We start from the raw sequence: 23,872 nt of genomic DNA on the forward strand, positions 1-23,872 counted from the left end.
GGATTACAGGTGCGAGCCACCTGGCCAGGCTTAGGCTGGTCTTAAACTCCTGACCTCAAGTGATCCGACCTCCTTGGCCTCCCAAATTGCTGGGATTGCTGGTGTGAGCCACAGCGCCTAGCCCATTTCTCCTTTTTATAAAACCTGTTGCTGTCTCTGTTCTCCCAACATGGTGAACACCACCCAGACTGCGTGTATGTCCCAAATTCTTTCTTTGCAAATGAAATGTGAAATTAGAGGCTCTTCTCCACACTTTAAATTTGACTTGTCATTTTCTAGGCAGATGTAAGTTATTAGAGAATGAGATTCTCTATAAAAATGACCCCTTCATGCTGTGGCCTCCACAGAACATGCCCCAGGCCAGGTGCCCACACAGCAGGCATTTATTTCCTCACACATCTGGAGGCTCCAAGTCCAAGTTCGAGGGGTGGGTTGGGTTGTTTGCTCTGAGGCTGCTCCTCCTGGCTGGCAGGGAATCCCTTCTGGCTGTGTCCTCTGTGGCCTTTCCTCTGTGCACCTACCTGCACCTCTGGGGTATCTCTGCCTCCAAATATCATCTTTTTTTTTTTTTTTTTTTTTTGAGACAGAGTTTTACTCTCGTTGCCCAGGCTGGAGTGCAATGGCATAATCTTGGCTCACTGCAACCTCCACCTTCAGGGTTCAAGCGATTCTCCTGTCTCAGCCTCCTGAGTAGCTGGGACTACAGGCATGCGCCACCACGCCCGGCTAATTTTGTAGTTTTAGTAGAGGCGAGGTTTCTCCATGTTGCTCAGGCTGGTCTTGAACTCGTGAGCTCAGGTGATCCACCCTCCTCCACCTCCCAAAGTGCTGGGATTACAGGTATGAGCCACCGTACCCGGCCTTTTTGTTTTGTTTTGTTTTTGTTTTTGTTTTTGTCTTGAGACGGTGTTTTACTCTGTTGCCCAGGCTGGAGTGCAATGGCATGATCACTGCTCACTGCAACCTCCGCCTCCCAGGTTCAAGCAATTCTCTGGCCTCATCCTTCTGAGTAGCGGCGATTACAGGCGCCCAGAACCACTCTCTGCTAATTTCTGTATTTTTTAGTAGAGATGGGGTTTCACCATGTTGGCCAGGCTGGTCTCGAACTCCTGACTGCCCACCTCGGCCTCCCAAAGTGCTGGGATTAAAGGCATGAGCCAGGGCACTTGGCCACCCTTCTCCTTGATGGACCCCCGCCAAGTGAATTTGTGCCCACACTAGAGGTCTCGTTTAAATTAATCATCTTGGCCGGGCGTGGTGGCTCACGCCTGTAATCCTCCCACTTTGGGAGGCTGAGGCTGGCAGATCACTTGAGGTCAGGAGTTGGAAATATGCCTGGTCAACATGGTGAAACCCCGTCTCTACTAAAAATACAAAAAAATTAGCAGGGCGTGGTAGTGGATGCCAGTAATACCAGCTACTCGGGAGGCTGAGGCAGGAGAATCGCTGGAACCCGGGAGGCAGAGGTTGCAGTGAGCTGAGATCGTGCCATTGCACTCCAGCCTGGAAGACACAGTGACGCTGCATCTCAAAAAAAAAAAAATTAATTAATTAGTTAATCATCTGTTGGCTGGGTGCGGTGGCTCACGCCTGTAATCCCAGCACTTTGGGAGGCTGAGGTGGCGGAGTTGGAGGTCAGCCTGGCCAACATGGTGAAAACCCACCTCTACTGAAAGTGCAAAAAGTAGCTGGGCATGGTAGTGGGCACCTGTAATCCCAGCTACTCGGGAGGCTGAGGCTTGAATCACTTGAACCAGGGAGGCAGAGTTTGCAGTGAGCCGACACGGTGCCACTGCACTGCAGCTTGGGCGACAGAGTGAGACTCCATCTCCAAAAAAATTAATTAATTAATTAACTAATCATCTGTTGAAAAGGACCTGTCTCCAAATACAACCACACATTGAGGTAGAGGGGTTAGGGCTTCAGTATATTGATTTTTGGGAGAAACAGGGCAACATGGCAACAAGCCACAGTCACTGTGGGCGGGCCTGAGTGGGGAGTGCAGGGGTTCCTGTCCTGTGTGTCTGTCTCACAGGGGAGTCCTGACCTGACCCTCACAGCCCCTCCACCCAGACCTTCCTGCATGTTCCACCCAGCCCACCCTCCTGCACCCAAGAGCACCCAGCCCTCCCTTCTGCTCATGCCCCTCCCTTCTCAAATCCCTCCCAGCAGTGCAGCTCTGGGCTAGGACACAGCCTAGGGAACGTGACTGAGAAAGAGCCAAGAAAACTTGATCAGTGATCAAGTTGGTGTTTAAGTAAGATTTTCAATAAAAAGTAGAATTGGGTACTACATGGAGGCTTGAGATGCTCAGAGCTTTTCGAGAAAGCAGAACAGAAAGTAGAAGGGCAACCAGGAACCAGAGGTGCCAGAGAACTGGAAGCGCGGGCCCTCCGAGGAGACAGGGAGTGGGCACCTGGGTCTTGGGCCTGTCGACAAAAAGAGTCAAACTCTGTAAAATATTTGAAGAGACGTATTCTGAGCCAAATACGAGTGACCATGGCCCGTAACACAGGGCTCAGGAGGTCCTGAGAATGTGTGTGTGCTCAAGGTGGTGTGGGTGCGGCATGACTCCCCAGACCCCTTAGATAGGAATTTGGTTTTATATATTTTAGAGAAGCATCAGCTATCAATCAAACACATTTAAGAAATACAGAAGCTGAGCGTGGTGGCTCACGCCTGTAATCCCAGCATTCTGGGAGACTGAGGCAGATGGATCATGAGGTCGGGAATTCTAGACCAGCCTGGCCAACATGGTGAAACCCCGTCTCTACTAAAAATACAAAAAATTAGCCAGGTGTGGTGCTGGGCACCTGTAATCACAGCTACTCGGGAGACTGAGGCAGGAGAATCACTTGAACCCAGGAGGCAGAGGTTGCAGTGAGCCAAGATCACGCCACTGCACTCCAGTCTGGGCGACACAGCAAGACTCCGTCTCAAAAAAAAGAAAAGAAATACTTCGGATTGCTCCAGAAAGGTCGGACGGCTCAAAGTGAGGGCAGGAGTGCTGGGGGGCTTCCAGGCTACAGGTAAATTTAAACATTTTCTGGTTGACAATTGGTTGAGTTTGTCTAGAGACCTGGCATCCATAGAAAGGAAACGTTCAGGTTAAGATAAAAGATTGTGGAGATCAAGGTTCTTTTGAAGTCTCATAGTGGCTGCCCTTAGAGACAATAGATGACAAATGTTTCCCATTCAGGCCTTTAAAAGGTGCAATTAGTTCATCTGTTTAGGACCGGGAGGGCCTAGAAGAAAAAGATCCAGCTATGTTAATAGAGATTCTTTACAGATACAAATTTTGCCCCACAAAGGACAACTTTGCAGGGCCATTTCAAGATATGGCAAAGAAACATGTTTTGGGGTAAAATATTTTGTCTTTTTACTTTGTCACATAATGTTGTGCCTGAGTCAGATTGGAAAGTAACTCACAATATATAGGGTTAAATAAAACCCATGTGGGCCGGGCGCAGTGGCTCATGTCTGTAATCCCAGCACTTTGAGAGGCCTAGGTGGGTGGATCACCTGAGGTCAGCAGTTCAAGACCAGCCTGGCCAACATGGTGAAACCCTGTCTCTACTAAAAATACAAAAATTATCCAGGTGTGGTGGCGGGCACCTATAATCCCAGCTACTTGGGAGGCTGAGACAGGAGAATCGCTTGAACCCGGGAGGCGAAGGTTGCAGTGAGCCGAGACCACACCATTGCACTCCAGCCTGGGCAAGAAGAGTGAAACTCGGCCTCCATTAAAATACAATAGGAAAAAAAAAAAAAAAAATAGAACCCCTCTGATGAGGATGTACGGGTTGTAAGGCATGACTCCCCAGACCCCTTAGATAGGATTTTGGGCAAGATTAAATAAAAACAAATCAGAGCTTAGTCCAAAGGCCTATGAACTAAAAATAAAGTCTTTAGCCCCCACCGATCCCCCCCAACTTTGGCCCCCAGTGGCCAGGGGTATCTCAGAAAAACCTTAAAACTGAGTTCCCAGCCATGATGGGAGGGGAGGTCAGGCACGCCTCATTATCACCCCGCCCTTTTGCAGTTTAGACACAACTGACCAGCAGTAATGTTAAAACAGAATCATAAGATGGGCAGAACCAGAACAGACTCTTCATGGCAATCAGATACCAAATCACAACCAGGACCTCAGGCCGTGCCAGGCAAGGGTGAGATCACACACCCCACACTTAAACAGTCAACTCTGTTCTGCCTGCCCCAAGGTTTTTTTTTTTTTTTTTTTTTTGCTCTAGCAGCTAAACAAGCACTGCCTCCAGATAAAGATGAAAACAATCACAGCTCACCCAGCGCCCGGACGCGGAGCAACAGAGCCCCTGCTCCACAGCCCTAATTCCAGGTTTCCCTGGACAAGAGACTGATTTCAGTAACTTTCTCCAGATCGGAAGACCACGGACCACGGACTAGTTCTGAATGGTTTACAGACCTGGCAAATTTTGGTGCCTTCATGTCCTGAAAGGACCTTTTGACATACAGGCTTAATTGTGGTACATTTAAATGTTGTCTCCACCGCAATGTGAGGACGGATTATACGGTTGCTTTTTTTTTTTTTAGATTTTTGTTTGTTTGTTTTTTGTTTTGAGATGGAGTCTCACTCTGTCTCCCAGGCTGGAGGGCAGTGGCGCGATCTCGGCCCACTGCAACCTCTGCCTTCTGGGTTCAACTGATTCTCCTGCCTCAGCCTCCCGAGTAGCTGGGATTTCAGGCACGTGCCACCACACCCGGCTAATTTTTGTAGTTTTAGTAGAGACCAGGTCTCACCATGTTGGCCAGGTTGGTCTCGAACTCCTCACTGTCATGCGTGTCTGTATAGAAAACCACCTAAACAGGCTTTGTGTAAGCAATAACGCCATTTATTCACTTGGGTGCAAGTGGGCTGAGTCTGAAAAGAGAGTCAGCGAAGGGAGATAAGAGAGGGGCAGCTTTATAGGACTTGGGTAGGTGGTGGAAAGTTACAGTCGAAGGTGGTCATCTGTTGTCAGCAGGGGAGGGGGTCACCAGGTGCATGGTGGGAGACCATGAGACCCATTGTCCAGAAGAAGAATGTCATAAGGTCGATTGATCAGTTAGGGTAGGGCAGGAACAAGTCCTAATGGTGGAATGTCTTAAGGTTGGTTAATCAGTTAAGGGAGAAACTGGCTGTTTCACTTCTTTTGTGTTTTTTTGGCTGCTCCAGACTTCTTGGCTGCTGCAGGCCATCTGGATGTATATGTGCAGTTCACAGGGGTCACAATGGCTTAGCTCCGGCTCAGAGGCCTGACACTGACCTCAGATGATCCACCTGCCTCGGCCTCCCAAAATGCTGGGATTACAGGCGTGAGCCACTGTGCCTGCCTGGGATCATATGTTACACGCATGTTTGTTCAATAAGCATGGAGTGCAGCCACCCACATGAATATTCATAGCTCCTCCTATAGCCTGTTGAATATGTATGTTTAGCCAACCCCTTCAGCATAAAGCTCCTGCCCCAACCCCTCCTGCTTCTAAATGTCTGTCTCTGGTGTTTCCCAGAGGCTGCTCTTCCCAGGCTGCGGGATGGCTACCTTGCTGCCTGTCACCCTTAACAAGAAATAAAATCTCCTTTCCAAATTTATACATTGTGGCCAGGCGCGGTGGCTCACACCTGTAATCCCGGCACTTTGGTACGCCAAGGCGGGCGGATCTCCTCAGATCGGGAGTTCGAGATCAGCTGACCAACATGGAGAAACCCTGTCTCTACTAAAAATACAAAAATTAGCCAGGCATAGTGGTGGGCGGCTGTAAGCCTGACCAACATGGAGAAACACTGTCTCTACTAAGAATACAAAAATTAGCCTAGGCGTAGGGGTGGGTGCCTGTAATCGCAGTTACATGGGAGGCTGAGGCAGGAGAATCTTTTGAACCTGGGAGGCAAAGGTTGCGGTGAGCTGAGATTACGCCACTGTACTCCAGCCTGGGTAACAGAGCAAGTCTCCGTCTCAAAACAAACAAACAAACAAAAAAACACAAAAAAACAAAAGCAAACAAAAAAACCAAATGCATCCCTTGTGTAATTTTTAGGTCACCGCGCCATGGGAACACGCTACCAGGGGAAGGGAGCTGTGAGACGCGCAGGGAGGCTCCAGACAGGCTGGCCTGGGACACCAGCCACTGCTCTTCCATGACATGGGGACAAGAGGAGGCGAGAGCTCAGCCCACCAGGGAGGAACTCCGGGCAGGAGATGGGGAAGAAGGAGAAGCAGGAAGGAAAGAGCTCAGTGTGGGGGCGCGCATGGCATCCCGGTGGGACATCTGAGGCCCACACCCACCTGCTGTCCCTCCCTCCCACGGTGGCCTCCGAGGGTGAAGGCCTGGGGAGAGGCAGACACCTGGCCCTTTACTCTCCCTCCCTGTCCCCATGGCCGCTGGGTGGGGGCCGTCTCTGGGATGATCCCCGAGGGCAGGATCCGGGAGTCCCTGCGGAGGCATCAGCCTGTCTGTCTTGATGGTGGAGAGGAGGCTCCAGCTGGGCGGGACCACCAGGGGAGGGGCTTGTGCTCTGCTGGCTCAGCCTGGTGTGGACCCACCTCGCGGGCGCTGGCTGCAATGACTTTCTCTTTCCCTTTGCAATTGCCTTGGGTCCTGCCGCACAGAGCGGCCTGTCTTTATCAGAGGTCCCTCTGCCAGGGGGAGGGCCCCAGAGAAAACCAGAAAGAGGGTGAGAGACTGAGGAAGATAAAGCGTCCCAGGGCCTCCTACACCAGCGCCTGAGCAGGAAGGGGGAGGGGCCATGACTACGAGGCCCTGGGAGGTCACTTTAGGGAGGGCTGTCCTGAAACCTGGAGCCTGGAGCAGAAAGTGAAACCCTGGTGCTCCAGACAAAGATCTTAGTCGGGACTAGCCGGCCAAGGATGAAGCCTCACTTCAGGTACCGCTGCCCGCTCTACCCGCTGGGCCCCTCTGCTGCCCCTTCCTGCCTGGTGGCTCTGCTGGGCGTCAGCCCTGGCCTCCCCCTGCCCCAGCCCCAGCCCTGGGCTCCCTCCCCTCTGGCTCCCCTGCCCCCGCCACTCCCAGCCAGGCTCTTTTTCCTGCTCTGTGGTTGCCCCACTGCTGCTTCTGAATAGGCCGCTTCCCCACCTGCCCCAGCCCAGGTGCCCTGCTGAGACTCTCCCCCGCCACCGAAAGTCATGGCAGGGCTGGTGCTCCCGGCCCTGGGAGGGTGCTCCCTCTGTGTTCTTTCCGCCATTCCTGAACTCTGGAACTGGGAGAATTGAACCAAAGGATGATTAGAGCAATGTGGAATTTTGTTCACAGTGCTTTGATGGATTTTCTGTAACATTTACTTTGCTTAAATAGCAAGTCTTAGGAGAGGGTGTGGGGAGGGAATGGTCTCTGAAGCACAAGATAAATCGTATCTTCCAAGGATGTCTCCACTGTGGGCAGAGGAGGATGCAGATGACCCCAAACACACGCTCCTCCTCCACTATCAGCATTCACTGTTTATAAATGACACGAGTAACATGGAATATAGTGGCCGGGTGCGGTGGCTCACACCTGTCATCCCAGCACTTTGGTAGGCTGAGGTGGGTGGATTGCCTGAGGTCGGGAGTTCGAGACCATCCTGATCAACATGGATAAACCCTGTCTCTACTAAAAATACAAAATTAGCCGGGTGTGGTGGCGGGCGCCTATAATCCAGCTACTCCACAGGCTGAGACAGGAGAATCGCTTGAACCCAGGAGGCGGAGGTTGCAGTGAGCCGAGATCGCCCCATCGCACTCCAGCCTGGGCAACAAGAGCCAAATTTCGTCTCAAAAGAAAAAAAAACAAAAACAAAAAACATGGAATATATGGGAAAAAAACTCAATGATCAGGAGAAATGCTATTATTTTAAAATTTAGTAAGAAGAGAGTCTGGTCCCCAATGGCTCCCTCCTGCAAGGCTGGTGACACAGAGACTGGACAGGGCTGGTCTGGTAAGAGGCCCCAGCCCCATCCGTCCCCAGCTCTGTGGCCTGGGCAGGTTACCCCATCTCTCTGCGCCTCTGGCACCTCCTCTGTAAGATGGGAATGGCCCGTGCGGGCCTAGGGCAGCCTCACATGAGCTCACATCCGCGCAGCACTTAGAAGAGTGGCCTGGGCCTCAGAATTCGGTTCTACCATGATTTAACAATAGTAATATACAGAGGTGAAATGTCAGAAGGAACTGGCTGAAAGGTTAAAATCTATTATTTTGGGGTGAATAGTTTTATTCTCTCTCTCTTTTTTTTTTTTTTTTTTGAGATGGAGTTTCGCTCTTGTAGCCCAGGCTGGAGTGCAGTGGCACGATCTCGGCTCACTACAACCTCCGCCTCCCAGGTTCAAGCGATTCTCCTGCCTCAGCCTCCACAGTGGCTGGGATTACAGGCACCCACTACCACGCTTGGCTAATTTTTATATTTTTAGTAGAGACTGGGTTTCACCATGTTGGTGAGACTGGTCTCAAACTCCTGACCTCAAGTGATGGGCCTACCTCGGCCTCCCAAAGTGCTGGGATTACAGGCATGAGCCATAATGTCCAGCCAAGAACTTTGTTCTCTTTTGCATTTTACTAATGCGTTGGAGAATGGGTGGGAGAAATACTGGGAAGGTGGGGAATGTACTCCTGGAACGACCAGAGCTGGACCCTGAGCTGGAAGAGGTCAGCCTGCCCCTGCTGCCCATGCCAGCATCCCCTTTTCTTGCTCTCTCCCCGGTCTTCCTGCCTGGGAAGGAAGCAAAAATTCTCAGGGCTGTGGAGGGGTTGGGGAGGCCCAGAGCCATGCAGGGGGCTGTGTTTAGTGGACATCAGCCCTGAGGGCTCCCGGGAGCGCTCTCTACATTGGCTGGTTTCTCTCTTGTGTCTTCAGAAACACAGTGGAGCGAATGTATCGAGACACATTCTCCTACAACTTTTATAATAGACCCATCCTTTCTCGTCGGAATACCGTCTGGCTGTGCTACGAAGTGAAAACAAAGGGTCCCTCAAGGCCCCGTTTGGACGCAAAGATCTTTCGAGGCCAGGTACCACCCGGACTTCAATCACTTTGCAGGCAGGAGCTAAGCCAGCTGGGAAAGCAAACCACGCACTGATAAGTGAAGTGCCCGGCGGCGGGCTATCCAGTGTGTCCTTCTCTCCCACACTTTCCAAGTCCGTGGCCCTGACCTTCCTGCTGGACCGTCCTGGGATCGGATCGTGGAGGGGGTTTGCCTTTGCACAAAAGGCCTTGTGTTTTTTTTTTTTTTTTTTTGAGACAGAGTTTCACTCTTGTTGCTCAGGCTGGAGTGCAATGACGCGATCTCGGCTCACAGCAACCTCTGCCTCCTGGGTTCAAGCGATGCTGTCGCCTAAGACTCCCGAGTAGCTGGGATTACAGGTGCCCACCACCACGCCCAGCTAATTTTTTTTTTTTTTGTATTTTTAGTAGAGACAGGATTTTACCATATTCACCAGGCTGGTCTCGAACTTCTGACCTCAGGTGATCCACCTGCCTCGGCCTCCCAAAGTGTTGGGATTACAGGTGTGAGCCACAGCGCCGGCCTAATTTTAATATTTAATTAATCCAATGTGGCTAACATATTACTTCAACATTAATTAACATAAAATTCTTGACAAGATAATGAAGTTTCTTTTTGTCACACTGAGTCTTTGAAATGAGCTGTGTAGGCCACGCTTGGTGGGTGGCTCGCGCCTGTAATCCCAGCACTTTGGGAGGCCGAGGTGGGTGGATCACCTGAGGTTAGATGTTTGAAAACCAGCTTGGCCAACATGGTGAAATCCCGTCTCTACTAAAAATACAAAAAAAAAATTAGCCCGGTGTGGTGGCAGTCGCCTGTAATCCCAGCTACTTGGGAGGCTGAGGCAGGAGAACCGCTTGAACCCATGAGGCAGAGGTTGTAGTGAGCCGAGATTGCATCATTGCACTCCAGCCTGGGCAACAAGAGTGAAACTACGTCTCAAAACAAAAACAAAAAACAAAAAAAGATAAATGAGCGGTGTATGGTGTATTTTTCAGGTGCCCAGGTCTTTCATCAGAGCCCCATTTCAAGTGCTCAGTAGCCCCTTTGGCCAGTGCGCCCCACCACATGGGACAGCGCAGGTCCAGTGGCCTCCCCAGCTGACCGCAGGCAGGGAACAAGGCAGACCCTAGAGGGCCAGGCCACAGCAGGGGCTGAGGATGCCTGGTGAATGGATGCCTGGGAGAATGGATGCCAGAATTCACGCATGAGGCTCTGAACAGGGCTGGGAAAACTTCCAAACGAAGGGAAGCTCATGTCTTGGTGCACTTTGTGATGATGCTTCAACAGCAGGACTGAGATGGGGACATTTACAATAAACAGAAATGTATGGGCTCGAGTTCTGGCCTCTGGGAAGTCCACTGTCAATGCACCAGCAACTTTCCAGGGCCTGCGAGCTGCACAGTCACGTGGGGGTAAAGGTTGTTGCCAGAAGTTCAGGGGATGCTCCAGACAGAGTGGCCTGGGATGTCGAGTCACTGCTGCTCCATGCCACGGGGACAAGAGGAAGCAGTTTAGTCTGACATACTGCCCCCCCAGCTAGAGGGCAAGAGACAGAAAGAGGGGCTGAAGTCGCCCTTGAATAAACACGCCAGTAGCACCCACAAAGGTGCAGCCCCCACAGCCTCATAGCCTCTTCTAGGTGCCACCTCTTAAGGCCATTACAATAGCCATTAACACTGAACGTGAGCTTTGGAGCAGACAATCACTCAAACTAAACAGGGGGGATGGAGGAAAGGAGCTTCAATGGCAAGATCCCCTGGGCTCCTGTCCTGGCCCCTCCTCTCCCTGCCCCACCCCTGCACTCCTCCTGCTCCCCCTCTCAGAGCATCCCCTGCCCCCTGCTCCTCTCCCAGGTGTATTCCCAGCCTGAGCACCACGCAGAAATGTGCTTCCTCTCTTGGTTCTGTGGCAACCAGCTGCCTGCTTACAAGTGTTTCCAGATCACCTGGTTTGTATCCTGGACCCCCTGCCCGGACTGTGTGGCGAAGCTGGCCGAATTCCTGGCTGAGCACCCCAATGTCACCCTGACCATCTCCGCCGCCCGCCTCTACTACTACTGGGAAAGAGATTACCGAAGGGCGCTCTGCAGGCTGAGTCAGGCAGGGGCCCGCGTGAAGATTATGGACGATGAAGGTGAGAGGTGGAGGGGTCAGGGGAGCGTGAGCGGGAGGAACAGCATGAAAGATGGATGGATCTGCAATGCCATGGCTGGGGGTGTCCCAGGGCAGCCTGCAGGGGCGGGGCCAGCACTGACAGCAACTGACAGCCAGGAGACCAGGCCTGGGAGCGCGGGCCCAGGGTCAGGGCAGAGCCTGACTGCTTCCTGCCTCTTCGTCTCAGAATTTGCATACTGCTGGGAAAACTTTGTGTACAGTGAAGGTCAGCCATTCATGCCTTGGTACAAATTCGATGACAATTATGCATTCCTGCACCGCACGCTAAAGGAGATTCTCAGGTGAGGGTCTCCCTCTGGCCTCATCGTCTGTCTCCTCTCGCCTCCTGCTCATCCTCCTGAGGCCTCCCCTGGCCAGGCCCTCCTGCCCTCCGTCCTGCCCCCTGCCTGCCCTCATGGTTACACCCCTCACCCACACTCCTTGTGCTCCTTCCCCTTCTTGCCTCCTCCCTCTTTCCTGGGCCCCTCCTATGAGTGAGAGGCCCCTTCTGCCTCCAGAGCAACCTCCATCCACCTTCGAGGCCGCCCTCCCCACAGCCTGGGATCCCCAACCTGGCTCCTTCCATCTCCCTGGCATAATCGAATTTGTCATAAAACTGGACGTAAGTGGGCATGAATATTCACAAGGCCGACAGCCAGAAGCTTTGAGCAACATCCTTCAAGGCCGACCTGAGTCCCTGAGAAGGAGCAGCCTCTGTGGAAACTTCAGGCTTCGACTGCCATAGAAGATGCCCCCGGGCCGGGTGCCCACAGGGCAGGCATTTATTTTCTCACAGATCTGGAGGCTGCAAGTCCAAGGTGGAGGGGTGGGCGGGGTTGTGTCTTCTGCAGCTGCTCCTCTTGGCTGGCAGGGGGTCCCTTCCAGCCCTGTCCTCTCTGGCCTTTCCTCTGTGCACCTGCACCCCTGGGGTCTCTCTGCCTCTAAATGTCCTCCTCGTTTATGGACCCCAGTCAGACAGGATTAGGGCCCACCCTAAGGGCCATGAGTTAATTTAATCACCACTTTAGTGGACCTGTCTCCAAATACAGTTATCCTGTGAGGAGGTGGGGATGAGGGTTTCAACATATCAATGTGGGGAAGATACAATTTAGTCCATGACAATGGGTCAAGCTTGCGTGGGGCATGCAGGGGTCCCTGTTCTGTGTGTCTGTCTCCCAGGCGAGTCCTGCCCTGACTCTCACAGCCCCTCCCTCCAGACCTTGCTGCACCCTGGGCCCCACCCCATGGCTTCCCCACCCAACAGCACCCAGCCCGGCCTCTGCTCACGCCTGTCCCTTCTCAAATCTGCCCCCAACAGGGATGGAGATGCAGAAAGAGCCAAACAAACACTCAGTGATCAAGGTCCCAATTGAATAAGATTTTTTTTTTTTTTTTGAGACACTGTCTCCCTCTGTCGCCCAGGCTGGAGTGCTATGGTGCGATCTCGGCTCACTGCAATCTCTACCTCCTGGTTCTAGCAATTCTCTTGTCTCAGCCTCCCAAGTACCTGGGATTACAGGCTCATGCCACCACACTGGCTAATTTTTGTATTTTTAGTAGAGACGGGGTTTTGCAATGTTGGCCAGGTGTTGAGTAAGATTTTGCAAAAGAGTAGGCTTGGATAATGGGAGGCTTGAGATGCCAGGAGCTCTCCAGGAAGCACAATAGAAAAAGGCAACCAGAGACCAGAGAGGCCATAGAAAGGGATCTAAGGCCCTCGGGAGAGACGGGAACTGAGCACCTGGGTCTTAGACCGGAGGAGCAAACTGCAAGACAGGGTGGCCGGGGACACCAGCCTCCACCCTTCTGTGACATAGGGACAAGAGCTCAGCCTGCCAGGGAACAACTCTGGGCAGGAGATGTGGAAGGAAGGAGCTCAGTGTGGGGGCACGCATGGCATCCTGGGGGGACATCTGAGGGCACCCCCACCCGCTATTCCTCCCTCCAATGGTGGCCTTTGAATGTGAAGGCAAGGGGGAAGCAGACACCTGCCCCTCACTCTCCCTCCCTACCACATAGCTACCGGGTGGGGGGCGTCCCTGGGATGATTCCTGAGGGCAGGATCCAGGAGTCCCTCTGGAGGTCCTCCCATCCAGGTGAGAAAGCAGCATAAAGTGAGACCTGCACTCAGATGGGCCTGTGAGGTCACTCACAGCGCAGGTGTCTCCTGGAACAAGGGCCCTGGAAGATAAAATAGAACCCAAGCCCAGGACTACCATCAGGGCCAGGACAAGCCTGCCAGGGAGGGTGCACATGAAGCCCCAGATCAGGGACCACTGCCCGCTCTGCCCACGGGGCCTCTGCTGCCCCTTCCTGCCTGGTGGCCCTGCTGGGCCTCAGCCTGGCCTCCCCCTGCCCCTGCCCCAGCGCTAGTCTCTCTCCCCTCTGGTTCCTCTGCTGCTCCCACTACCAGCCAGGCTCTTTGCCCTGCTATGTGGTCGCCCCTTTACAGCTTCTGAATGGGCCATCTCCCCCACCTGCCCCAGCCCAGGCCCCCTGCTGAGACTCTCCCCCGAAAGTCACCCCTTTGCTATTGCTCCCCGCCCTGGGATGGTGCTCCCTCTCTGTGCTTCTCGCCATTCCTGAGCTCAGGAACTGAGAAAATTGAACCAAAGGATGATTGGAGCAATCAGGCATTTTGTTCTCAGCACTTCCATGGAATTTCTGCAAGATTTACTTTGTTTCAACACAAAGTCTTAGGAGAGGATGTGGGGGAGGGAATGGTCTCTGTACCAGAAAATAAGTCACTTCTTCCAAAGATGCCTCCACTGTGAACAGAGGAGGATGCACATGACTCCAGACACAGGCTCCTCCTCCGTGAGCACCATTCACCTTTTAGAATGAAACCTGCAACATGGAGTGTAGGAAAAAATATGATGATCAGGAGAAATGCTCTTATTTTAAAGTTTAGTAAGAAGAGAGTCCGGTTCCCAACAGCTCCCTCCTGCAGGGCCTGTGATGCAGAGGCTGGACAGGGCTGGCCCGGAAAGGGGCCCCAGCTCCATCCATCCCCATCTCTGTGGCCTGGGCAGGTTACCCCGCCTCTCTGTGCCTCTGGCACCTCGTCTGTAAAATAGTGATGGCCCCCTGCAGGCCTCAGGCACATACCATGAGCTCAGACCCTCACAGCACTTAGGAGAGTGGCCTAGGCTGGCCGGGCACAGTGACTCACGCCTGTCATCCCAGCACTTTGGGAGGCTGAGTCGGGCAGATCACAAGGTCAGGAGTTCAAGACCAGCCTGGCCAACATGGTGAAACCCAGTCTCTACTAAAAATACAAAAACTAGGTCTGGCCGCGATGGCTCACACCTGTAATCCCAGCACTTTGGGAGGCAGGCGGGCAGATCACAAGGTCAGGAGTTCAAGACCATCCTGGCTAACATGATGAAACCCCATCTCTACTAAAAATACAAAAAATTAGCCGGGTGTTGTGGCACGTGCCTGCAGTCCCAGCTAGTTGGGAGGCTGAGGCAGGAGAATCGCTTGAAACCAAGAGGCAGAGGTTGCAGTGAGCCGAGATTGTGCCACTGCACTCCAGCCTGGCGACAGACTGAGACCCCGTATAAAAATAAATAAATAAATAAAAGTACAAAAATCAGCCGGACGTGGTGACACAAGCTCGTAATCCCAGCTACTCAGGAGGCTGAGGCAGGAGAATCACTTCAACCCGGGAGGTGCAGGTTGCAGTAAGCTGAGATCGCGCCACTGCACTCCAGCCTGGGCAGCAGAGGGAGACTATGTCCCAAACAAAAACAAAAACAAAAAAAACAAAAAGAGTAGCCTGGGCCTGGGAATTCGGTGTGATACCAACGTAAAAAGAATCATCATCATCGGACAGGTGAAATGTGAGGAAGGAATTGAGCTGAAATGTTCAAGCAATTATTTTAGGGCGAAGAGTTTTATTGTCTGTTGCATTTTCCTAATGGGTTGGGAGACGTGTGGCAGAAAAACTGGGAGGTTGAGGGTGTCCCATTGGTAGGCCCAGAGCTGTGGTTCCAGCTGGGAGAGGTCACCCCGGCCCTTCTGCCCCTGCCAGCATCCCCTCCTCTTTCTCTCTCCCAGTCTTTCTGCCTGGGAAAGCAGCAGACATTCCCAGGGCTGTCCAGTGAGTGGTGTTCAGTGGGCATCAGCTCCGAGGAATCCAGGGGGGTCTCTGCATTGGGGTTTCTCTATTGTGCCTTCAGAAACCCGATGGAGGCAATGTATCCACACATATTCTACTTCCACTTTAAAAACCTACGCAAAGCCTATGGTCGGAACGAAAGCTGGCTGTGCTTCACCATGGAAGTTGTAAAGCACCACTCACCTGTCTCCTGGAAGAGGGGCGTCTTCCGAAACCAGGTAGCACCAAAGTCCTATTTACACCCCAAATAGGAGCTAAGCAGCTAGGAATGCAGAAAACACAATAAGTGACGTGCCTGGCGTGGGCTTTCCTGTGTGTACTTTCCTCTTACATTTCTTTTTTTTTTTTTTTTTTGAGACAGAGTCTCACTCAGTCACCCAGGCTGGAGTGCAATGGCGTGATCTCTGCTCACTGCAACCTCTGCCTCCTGGGTTCAAGCAATTCTTCTGTCTCAGCCTCCTGAGTAGCTGGGATTACAGGTGCCCACCACCACACCCAGCTAATTTTTATTCCATTTTTAGTAGAGACGGGGTTTCACCGTGGTGACCAGGCTGGTTTCGAATTCCTGACCTCAAGTGATCCGCCCCCCTCGGCCTCCCAAAGTGCTAGGATTACAGGCATGAGCCACCACGCCCAACTTCCTCCCACATTTTTTAAGTCCGTGGCCCAGATCTTCCTCCCTAACTTTCCTGGGATCAGATTGTCGAGGGGTTTTGCCTCTTACCAAAAGGCCTTGTTTAGCGCCCAGCGCCCTCACTCTTGACTTTGTTTCCCAAAATCTTGTCATGGAGCTGTGCGTCCGGCAGTCCTCGGGAAACAGCAGCTGTGGGAAGCGGTGGGTCTGGTGTCCAGCACTGTGCCTGGGCCAGTCACTGTGGGCTGGTGGGGCCGCCCCCGCCACTGCCCTGATTCCTCGATGTCAAGGACACATCCTCACAGGGTGGTGAACCCTCGCTCCTCACCCTGCCGCCCCCACAGCAGCCACTGACCTCCCACCCACCCTGTCGTGTCCCACCCAACCCTGCGGCCCCCTCCTCCCAGGCAGGAGATTTTTTCAGAGTGTGTTTGGGGAGGGAGCCGTCTGTGTGCTGGGCAGGCCTGGCCTACAGCAGTGCTGGCCTCGGAAACACCCAGGACTCAGGATGGAAGCGCGAGTGTTCCCAGTCCCCACACGCTAAAAAGGCGACAAGAACTTGTGGAAGAAATTTTAGTGTCTGCATTAGCTCAATTATCTCACATAGGATTTCAACATATACTTAATATAAAATGCCTCATGAGAGAGTTAAAGTTTGTCTATTCTCACAATGAGATTTTGAAATGCGCTGTGTATTTTACACGTGCCAACGTTTCTAATCAGAGCCCCATTTCAAGTGCTCAGTAGCCCCTTTGGCCAACCTTCAACTCCATGGGACAATGTGGGTCCAATGACCTTCCCAGCAGAAGGCAGACAGGGGACAAGGCAGACCCCATAGGACCAGGCCACAGCAGGGGCTGAGGATGCCCGGTTAACGGATGCCTGGGGAACAGGATGCCAGAAATCACACATGACCTATGATGAGACAGGAAAAGACTCAATAAAATAAAGAAGGAAGGGGCCGAGTGCAGTGGCTCACGCCTGTAATCCCAGCACTTAGCGAGGCTGAGGCGGGCGGATCATGAGGTCAGGAGTTTGACACCAGCCTGCCTAACATGGTGAAATCCCATCACTACTAAAACTACAAAAATTAGCCAGGCGTGGGGGTGTGCCCCTGTAGTCCCAGCTACTTGGGTGGCTTAGGCAGGAAAATCGCCTGAACCCAGGAGGCAGAGGTTGCAGTGAGCCGAGATCTTGCCACTGCCCCCCAGCCTGGGTGACAGAGCAAGACTCTGTCACTCAAAAAGATAAAGAGGAACGGCCAGGTGCAGTGGTTCACGCCTGTAATCTCAGCACTTTGGGAGGCCAAGGCGGGGGATCACGAGGTCAGGAGCTTGAAACCATGCTCGCTAACTCGGTGAAACCCCATCTCTACTAAAAATACAAAAAATTAGCCAGGCGTGGTGGCGGGCGCCTGTAGTCCCAGCTACTTGGGAGGCTGAGGCAGGAGAATGGCGTGAACCCCGGAGGCGGAGCTTGCAGTGAGCGGAGATCGCGCCACTGCACTACAGCATGGGTGACAGAGCGAGACTCAGTATCAAAAAAAAAAAAAAAGAAAGAAAAAGAAAAGAAAAAATAAAGAGCAAGGAGAAGGATGGAAGAAGGGAAATTCAATGAGTAAAAAGCCCTGGGGCCTAGTATGTACCCAAAAAAATGAGAAGTAAAGAAAATAAGGCCATGCATGTGGTTTATGCTCATAGTCGCAGAGTTTTGGGAGGGTGAGGCAGGAGGATGGCTTGAGCCCAAGAGTTCGAGATCAGCCTGAGCAACATGGTGAAACCCAGTCTCTACAAAAATTACAAAAAAATTAGGCAGGCGTGGTGGCACGCACCTGCAGTCCCAGCTAATCAGGAGGCTGAGGTGGGAAGATTCCTTGAGCCTGGGAGGTCAAGGCTGCAGTCAGCCCCAGATCGCACCACTGCACCCCAGCCTGGGCAACAGGAGAGACCCTGTCTCAAAAATAAATAAGGAAACGCCCTGGGGCTCCAGGCCCGCCCTCTGCTCCCATCGCCCCACCCCTGCACTCCTCCTGCTCCTAGTCTGAGCTCCCCTGCCCTCCTCCTCCTCCTTCCCCAGGTGGATCCTGAGACCCATTGTCATGCAGAAAGGTGCTTCCTCTCTTGGTTCTGTGACGACATACTGTCTCCTAACACAAACTACGAGGTCACCTGGTACACATCTTGGAGCCCTTGCCCAGAGTGTGCAGGGGAGGTGGCCGAGTTCCTGGCCAGGCACAGCAACGTGAATCTCACCATCTTCACCGCCCGCCTCTACTACTTCTGGGATACAGATTACCAGGAGGGGCTCCGCAGCCTGAGTCAGGAAGGGGCCTCCGTGGAGATCATGGGCTACAAAGGTGAGACGTTGGGGGGCTGAGGAGAGTGGGTGCGGGAGGGACAGCATGAGGGGCAGGTGTGTCTGCAATGCCGTGGGGCGGGGCAGTGTCCCGGGAAGCCTGCAGGGATGGCGCCAGTGTCCACTGCAACTGGCAGTCAGGAGACCTGGGCTTGGAGGGGAGGGCCCAGGGCTGGGAGAGAAGCCTGCTGGGCCCTCACTGCTTTCTCCTTGTTTTTTCTCAGATTTTAAATATTGTTGGGAAAACTTTGTGTACAATGATGATGAGCCATTCAAGCCTTGGAAAGGACTAAAATACAACTTTCTATTCCTGGACAGCAAGCTGCAGGAGATTCTCGAGTGAGGGGTCTCCCCGGGCCTCATGGTCTGTCTCCTCTAGCCTCCTGCTCATGTTGTGCAGGCCTCCCCTCCATCCTGGACCAGCTGTGCTTTTGCCTGGTCATCCTGAGCCCCTCCTGGCCTCAGGGCCATTCCATAGTGCTCCCCTGCCTCACCACCTCCTCTCCGCTCTCCCAGGCTCTTCCTGCAGAGGCCTCTTTCTGCCTCCATGGCTATCCATCCACCCACCAAGACCCTGTTCCCTGAGCCTGCATGCCCCTAACCTGCCTTTTCCCATCTCCCCAGCATAACCTAATATTTTTTTTTTTTTTTTGAGACGGAATTTCGCTCTGTCACCCAGACTGGAGTGCAATGGCTTGATCTTGGCTCACTGCAAACTCTGCCTACCAGGTTCAAGCGATTCTCCTGCCTCCGCCTCCCGAGTAGCTGGAATTACAGACGCCTGCCACCACGCACAGCTAACTTTTTTTTTTTTTGTATTTTTAGTAGTGACTGGGTTTCACCATGTTGGCCAGGCTGGTCTTGAACTCCTGACCTCAGGTGATCCGCCTATCTCAGCCTCCCAAAGTGCTGGGATTACAGGCGTGAGCCACTGGCCCGGCGGCACAACCAAATCTTATTAAACTCACCCTAGGCTGGCCGCGGTGACTCATGCCTATAATCCCCCAGCAATTTGGGAGGCAGAGGTGAGAGAATCGCTTGAGCCCAGGAATTCGAGACCAGCCTGGGCCACATGACAAAGCCCCATCTCTACAAAAAAATTACAAAAAAAAAAAAAACAGGTGTGGTGGCATGCACCTGTAGTTGAAGCTACTTGGAAGGATGAAGTGGGAGGATTGCTTGAGCCGGGGAGGTGGAGGCTGCAGTGAACTGAGATCACGTCACTGAACTCCAGTCTGAGCAACAGATCGAGACCCTGCCTGAAAATAAATCAATAAATAAACTCAACCGAAATGGGTATGAAAGTTGAAATGGGTATGTAAGTTGAAAACCAGAAGTTTTGAGAAACATCCTTTGTTAACTTTCATCCTACAAATTGGGTCATTCATGTCCTACGCAGCTAAAACAGAGCCCAGGAGCCAGGGAGGAAAAGCAGTCAGGCCACACACCATTGCTCCCAAAATGGACTTCTCTGCAAGCCTGACTCCTGAAACTGTGCATTGTACCCTGAAACCAGCTTTATCCATAGCTTCTGCAATAAATGGCTGTAAGTCTTGGACTCCTTGCTATAATCGCAGCTATTCAGCAATGGAACCTCCCAGTTCCCAACCCTTCCTAGTGCCCATGGGCTTTCCCATAGGACAAGAGAACATTTCTCCTTTTCTTTTTTTTTTTCTTTGAAATGGAGTCTCGCCCTGTCACCCAGGCTGGAGTGCAATGGTGCGGTCTCGGCTCACTGCAACCTCTGCCTCCCTTGTTCAAGTGATTCTCCTGTCTCAGCCTCCCGAGTAGCTGGGATTACAGGCGTCCACCACCAAACCAGGCTAATTTTTGTATTTTTCATAAAAACGGGTTTCATCATGTTTCCCAGGCTGGTCTTATTTTTATTTTATTTTTTGAGATGGAGTCTTGCTCTGTTGCCCAGGCTGGGGTGCAGTGGTGCAATCTGGGTTCACTGCAGCCTCTGCCGCCTGAGTTCAAGCTATTTTCCTACCTAAGCCTCCCAAGTAGCTGGGATTACATGCGCGTGCCACCACGCCTAGCTAATTTTTGTGTTTTTAGTAGAGACGGGGTTTCAACATCTTGACCAGGCTGGTCTTGAACTCCTGACCTCGTGATCCACCCGTCTCGGCCTCCCAAAGTGCTGGGATTACAGGCGTGAGCCACCTGGCCAGGCTTAGGCTGGTCTTAAACTCCTGACCTCAAGTGATCCAACCTCCTTGGCCTCCCAAATTGCTGGGATTGCTGGTGTGAGCCACAGCGCCTAGCCCATTTCTCCTTTTAATAGGACCTGTTGCTGTCTCTGTTCTCCCAACATGGTGAACACCACCCGGACTGCGTGTATGTCCCAAATTACAATTCTTTCTTTGCAAATGAAATGTGAAATTTAGAGGCCCTTCTCCACACTTTAAATTTGACTTGACATTTTCTAGGCAGATATAAGTTATTAGAGAATGAGATTCTCTATAAAAATGATCCCTTCATGCTGTGGCCTCCACAGAAGATGCCCTGGGCCAGGTGCCCACATGAATAATGCGGGCCACAGGCAGGCATTTATTTTCTCACAGATATGGAGGCTACAAGTCCAAGGTGGAGGGGTCGGCGGGGTTGTTTGCTCTGAGGCCGCTCCTCCTGGATGGCAGGGATCCCTTCTGGCTGTGTCCTCTGTGGCCTTTCCTCTATGAACCTGTACTGTACCTCTGGGGTCTCTCTGCTTCCAAATATCTTTTTTTTTTTTTTCAGACAGTTTTGCTCTTGTTTTCTAGGCTGGAGTGCAATGGCACAATCTCAGCTCACTGCAACCTCTGCCTTCCGAGTTCAAGCGATTCTCGTGCCTCAGCCTCCTGAGTAGCTGGGACTACAGGCGTGTGCCACCACGCCTGGCTAATTTTGTAGTTTTAGTAGAGACGGGGTTTCTCCATGTTGCTCAGGCTGGTCTTGAACTCATGAGCTCAGGCGATCCACTCTCCTCAGCCTCCCAAAGTGCTGGGATTACAGATATAAGCCACCATACACAACTTTTTTTTTTTTTTGAGATGGAGTTTCACTCTGTTGCCCAGGCTGGAGTGCTAAATAGCAGAATCACTGCTCACTGCAACCTCTGCCTGCTGGGTTCAAGCAATTCTCCCACCTCAGCCTCCTGAGTAGCTGGGATTACAGATGCCCAGAACCAATCTCTGCTAATTTTTCTATTTTTTAGTAGAGATGGGGTTTCACTGAGGAAGGAGACCACCTCTCTCATTGTCTCCTATTTCAGAAGGAAGCAAAAAGTTAGAAAGATGCAGAAGTAAGATCAATGGCCAGACTGTTTGGCGCTGCTACCTGGGCCTGGTAGTTAAAGATCAACTCCTGACCTGACCGCTTGTTTTATCTAAAGATTCCAGACATTGTATGAGGAAGCATTGTGAAACTTTCTGGTCTGTTCTGCTAGCCCCCACCACTGATGCATGTAGCCCCCCAGTCACGTAGCCCACGCTTGCACAATCTATCACGACCCTTTCACGTGGACCCCTTAGAATTGTAAGCCCTTAAAAGGGCCAGGGACTTCTTCAGGGAGCTCCAATCTTCAGATGCAAGTCTGTCAACGCTCCCAGCTGATTAAAGCCTCTTCCTTCCTAAAACTGGTGTCTGAGAGGTTTTGTCTGCAACCGTTCCTGCTACATCACCATGTACATTCCAGGCGAGGCTGGTCTCGAATTCCTGACGCCCACCTCTGCCTCCTAAAGTGCTGGGATTAAAGGCATGAGCCATGGCACCTGGTCGACCTTCTCCTTTATGGACCCCAGACAAATTAATTTGTGCCCACACTAGAGGTCTCATTTAAATTAATCATCTTGGTCGGGCGTGGTGGCTCACGCCTGTAATCCTAGCACTTTGGGAGGCTAAGGCAGGCAGATCACTTGAGGTCAGTGTCACACGTGTCCATGTGAAGAGACCACCAACAGGTTTTGTGTGAGCAACAAGGCTGTTTATTTCACCTGGGTGCAGGTGGGCTGAACCAGAAAAAGGAGTCAGCAAAGGGTGGTGGGATTATCATTAGTTCTTACAGGTTTGGGATAAACCTATCCCAAACCTATAAGTGTACATTCTTAAAGGCATACAAAGTACATTCTTAAGTGTGGGGGAGAATATTACAAAGTACCTTCTTAAGGGCAGGGGAGACTATATGGTATCAGTTGGGGTGGGGCAGGAACAAATCACAATGGTGGAATGTCATCAGTTAAGGCTATTTTCGCTTTTTTTTGTGGATCTTCAGTTGTTTCAGGCCATCTGGATGTATACATGCAGGTCACAGGGGATATGATGGCTTAGCTTGGGCTCAGAGGCCAGACATTCCTGTCTTCTTATATGAATAAGAAAAAACAAAATAGTGGTGAAGTGTTGGGGTGGCGAAAATTTTGGGGGGTGGTATGGAGAGATAATGGGCGATGTTTCTCATGGCTGCTTCAAGCGGGATTAGGGGCAGCGTGGGAACCTGTGGTGGGAGAGATTAAGCTGAAGAAAGATTTTGGGGTAAGGTGATATTTTGGAGTTGTTAGAAGGAGCATTTGTCGTATAGAATTATTGGTGATGGCCTGGATGCGGTTTTGTATGAATTGAGAAACTAAACGGAAGACACAAGGTCTGAATAAAAGAAGGAGAAAAATAGGTTGGTTTTTTTTTTTTTTTTTTTTTTTTGAGACAGAGTCTCGCTCTGTTGCCCAGGCTGGAGTGCAGTGGCACGATCTCGGCTCACTGCAACCTCTGCCTCCCTGGTTCAGACGATTCTCCTGCCTCAGCTTCCTGAGTAGCTGGGACTACAGGTGCACGCCACCACGCCCGACTAATTTTTTTGTATTTTTAGTAGAGAAGGGGGTTTCACCATGTTAGCCAGATGGTCTCAATCTCATGACCTCGTGATCCGTCCACCTCAGCCTCCCAAAGTGCTGGGATTACAGGCATGAGCCACCACACCCAGCCAGAAAAATAGGTATTAAAGGACTAAGAATTGGGAGTACCCAGAACATCTAATTAGACAGTGTCCAAGGGGGTTCAACATAATTATTTGCTTGGTTGGTGAGTTTTTGGCCTCTATCCTTGAATTTTTTTATGTTGTCATATACCTGTCCAGATTGATTTAGGTAAAAACAACACTCTTCGTTTAAAAATATACAGAGTCCTCTTTTTTTTAGCAGTGAGTAAGTCGATGCCTCGGCAATTTTGGAGGAAAGAGAAATGCAAAGCCAGCAATTGTTCATTTAAGAAGGATTAGAAATGGCTAAGAGAGAGTTTGATAGTGTGGTGGAGATAGCTGGGGAGAGGTAGAGGGTAGCATAAGAACGGAACCAGAATAAGAGTGAGTATAAAAGTAAAGAATAGGACTTCATCAGGGTGAAAGTACTGGAGGGTACCTTGCCACTGAAGATCTTCTATCGACTTCAAGAGCGACTTAAGGGTGGTGATTTGAAGTAAAACCAGGAGCCTCCAAATACCAAGAGCCTGAGAACCTTCTTGGGTGATTTGACTAATAAAGGCCGGTGCGTTATCAGACTGTATAGAGGTGGGAAGGACAAACCCAGGAATTCTGTCTAAAAGAAAGGAAGAAATGATCACGGTG

General features: G+C 51.7%; 1 protein-coding gene across 5 annotated transcripts, besides 7 other annotated features; it reads left to right on the forward strand.

The window, feature by feature from the left end:
• Positions 2,702–3,592: an enhancer, noted in NCBI's record as "OCT4-NANOG hESC enhancer chr22:39432783-39433673 (GRCh37/hg19 assembly coordinates)". NCBI's record gives its function as "activates a minimal SCP1, AML or CMV promoter by ChIP-STARR-seq in naive and primed H9 embryonic stem cells {active_cell/tissue: H9 hESC(naive and primed)}" and the evidence as "EXISTENCE:reporter gene assay evidence [ECO:0000049][PMID:30033119]".
• Positions 6,598–6,657: an enhancer, noted in NCBI's record as "active region_19027". NCBI's record gives its function as "activates an Ori minimal core promoter by ATAC-STARR-seq in GM12878 lymphoblastoid cells {active_cell/tissue: GM12878}" and the evidence as "EXISTENCE:reporter gene assay evidence [ECO:0000049][PMID:35858748]".
• APOBEC3F (apolipoprotein B mRNA editing enzyme catalytic subunit 3F) lies at positions 6,788–21,896 on the forward strand. Of its 5 annotated transcripts, NM_145298.6 has the most exons (7): positions 6,788–6,901; positions 8,861–9,014; positions 10,865–11,144; positions 11,352–11,466; positions 15,349–15,505; positions 17,998–18,277; positions 18,501–21,896. In NM_145298.6, the coding sequence occupies exons 1-7, from the start codon at positions 6,885–6,887 to the stop codon at positions 18,617–18,619; spliced, it is 1,122 nt and encodes a 373-aa protein (NP_660341.2). In that variant the 5' UTR covers positions 6,788–6,884; the 3' UTR covers positions 18,620–21,896. The 5 variants fall into 5 exon arrangements, with proteins under 5 accessions (NP_660341.2, XP_047297140.1, XP_047297141.1 ...); XM_047441184.1 differs by having other exon boundaries at positions 10,865–11,466; XM_047441185.1 differs by lacking the exons at positions 15,349–15,505; positions 18,501–21,896.
• Positions 7,710–8,487: an enhancer, noted in NCBI's record as "H3K27ac-H3K4me1 hESC enhancer chr22:39437791-39438568 (GRCh37/hg19 assembly coordinates)". NCBI's record gives its function as "activates a minimal SCP1, AML or CMV promoter by ChIP-STARR-seq in naive H9 embryonic stem cells {active_cell/tissue: H9 hESC(naive)}" and the evidence as "EXISTENCE:reporter gene assay evidence [ECO:0000049][PMID:30033119]".
• Positions 9,334–9,564: a silencer, noted in NCBI's record as "fragment chr22:39439415-39439645 (GRCh37/hg19 assembly coordinates)". NCBI's record gives its function as "represses an EF-1alpha promoter that drives an FKBP-Casp9 reporter gene in an ReSE screen in K562 erythroleukemia cells {active_cell/tissue: K562}" and the evidence as "EXISTENCE:reporter gene assay evidence [ECO:0000049][PMID:32094911]".
• Positions 15,236–16,435: an enhancer, noted in NCBI's record as "P300/CBP strongly-dependent group 1 enhancer chr22:39445317-39446516 (GRCh37/hg19 assembly coordinates)". NCBI's record gives its function as "activates an origin of replication core promoter dependent on BRD2, BRD4, P300/CBP, MED14 and CDK7 cofactors, with strong dependence on P300/CBP, by STARR-seq in HCT116 cells {active_cell/tissue: HCT116}" and the evidence as "EXISTENCE:reporter gene assay evidence [ECO:0000049][PMID:35650434]".
• Positions 17,103–17,192: a silencer, noted in NCBI's record as "silent region_13739". NCBI's record gives its function as "represses an Ori minimal core promoter by ATAC-STARR-seq in GM12878 lymphoblastoid cells {active_cell/tissue: GM12878}" and the evidence as "EXISTENCE:reporter gene assay evidence [ECO:0000049][PMID:35858748]".
• Positions 18,444–19,378: an enhancer, noted in NCBI's record as "H3K27ac-H3K4me1 hESC enhancer chr22:39448525-39449459 (GRCh37/hg19 assembly coordinates)". NCBI's record gives its function as "activates a minimal SCP1, AML or CMV promoter by ChIP-STARR-seq in naive H9 embryonic stem cells {active_cell/tissue: H9 hESC(naive)}" and the evidence as "EXISTENCE:reporter gene assay evidence [ECO:0000049][PMID:30033119]".
• Positions 21,897–23,872: the final 1,976 nt, after the last annotated feature.

This window comes from Homo sapiens, chromosome 22, assembly GCF_000001405.40.
Source record: "Homo sapiens chromosome 22, GRCh38.p14 Primary Assembly".
In the NCBI taxonomy this organism is placed as follows: domain Eukaryota; kingdom Metazoa; phylum Chordata; class Mammalia; order Primates; family Hominidae; genus Homo; species Homo sapiens.

Coding starts and splice junctions, on each gene's coding strand:
- APOBEC3F (XM_047441184.1), top strand. Junction 9,015..10,864: donor CAAAGATCTTTCGAGGCCAG/GTACCACCCGGA, acceptor CTCCTCTCCCAG/GTGTATTCCCAGCCTGAGCA. Junction 18,278..18,500: donor GGAGATCATGGGCTACAAAG/GTGAGACGTTGG, acceptor GTTTTTTCTCAG/ATTTTAAATATTGTTGGGAA.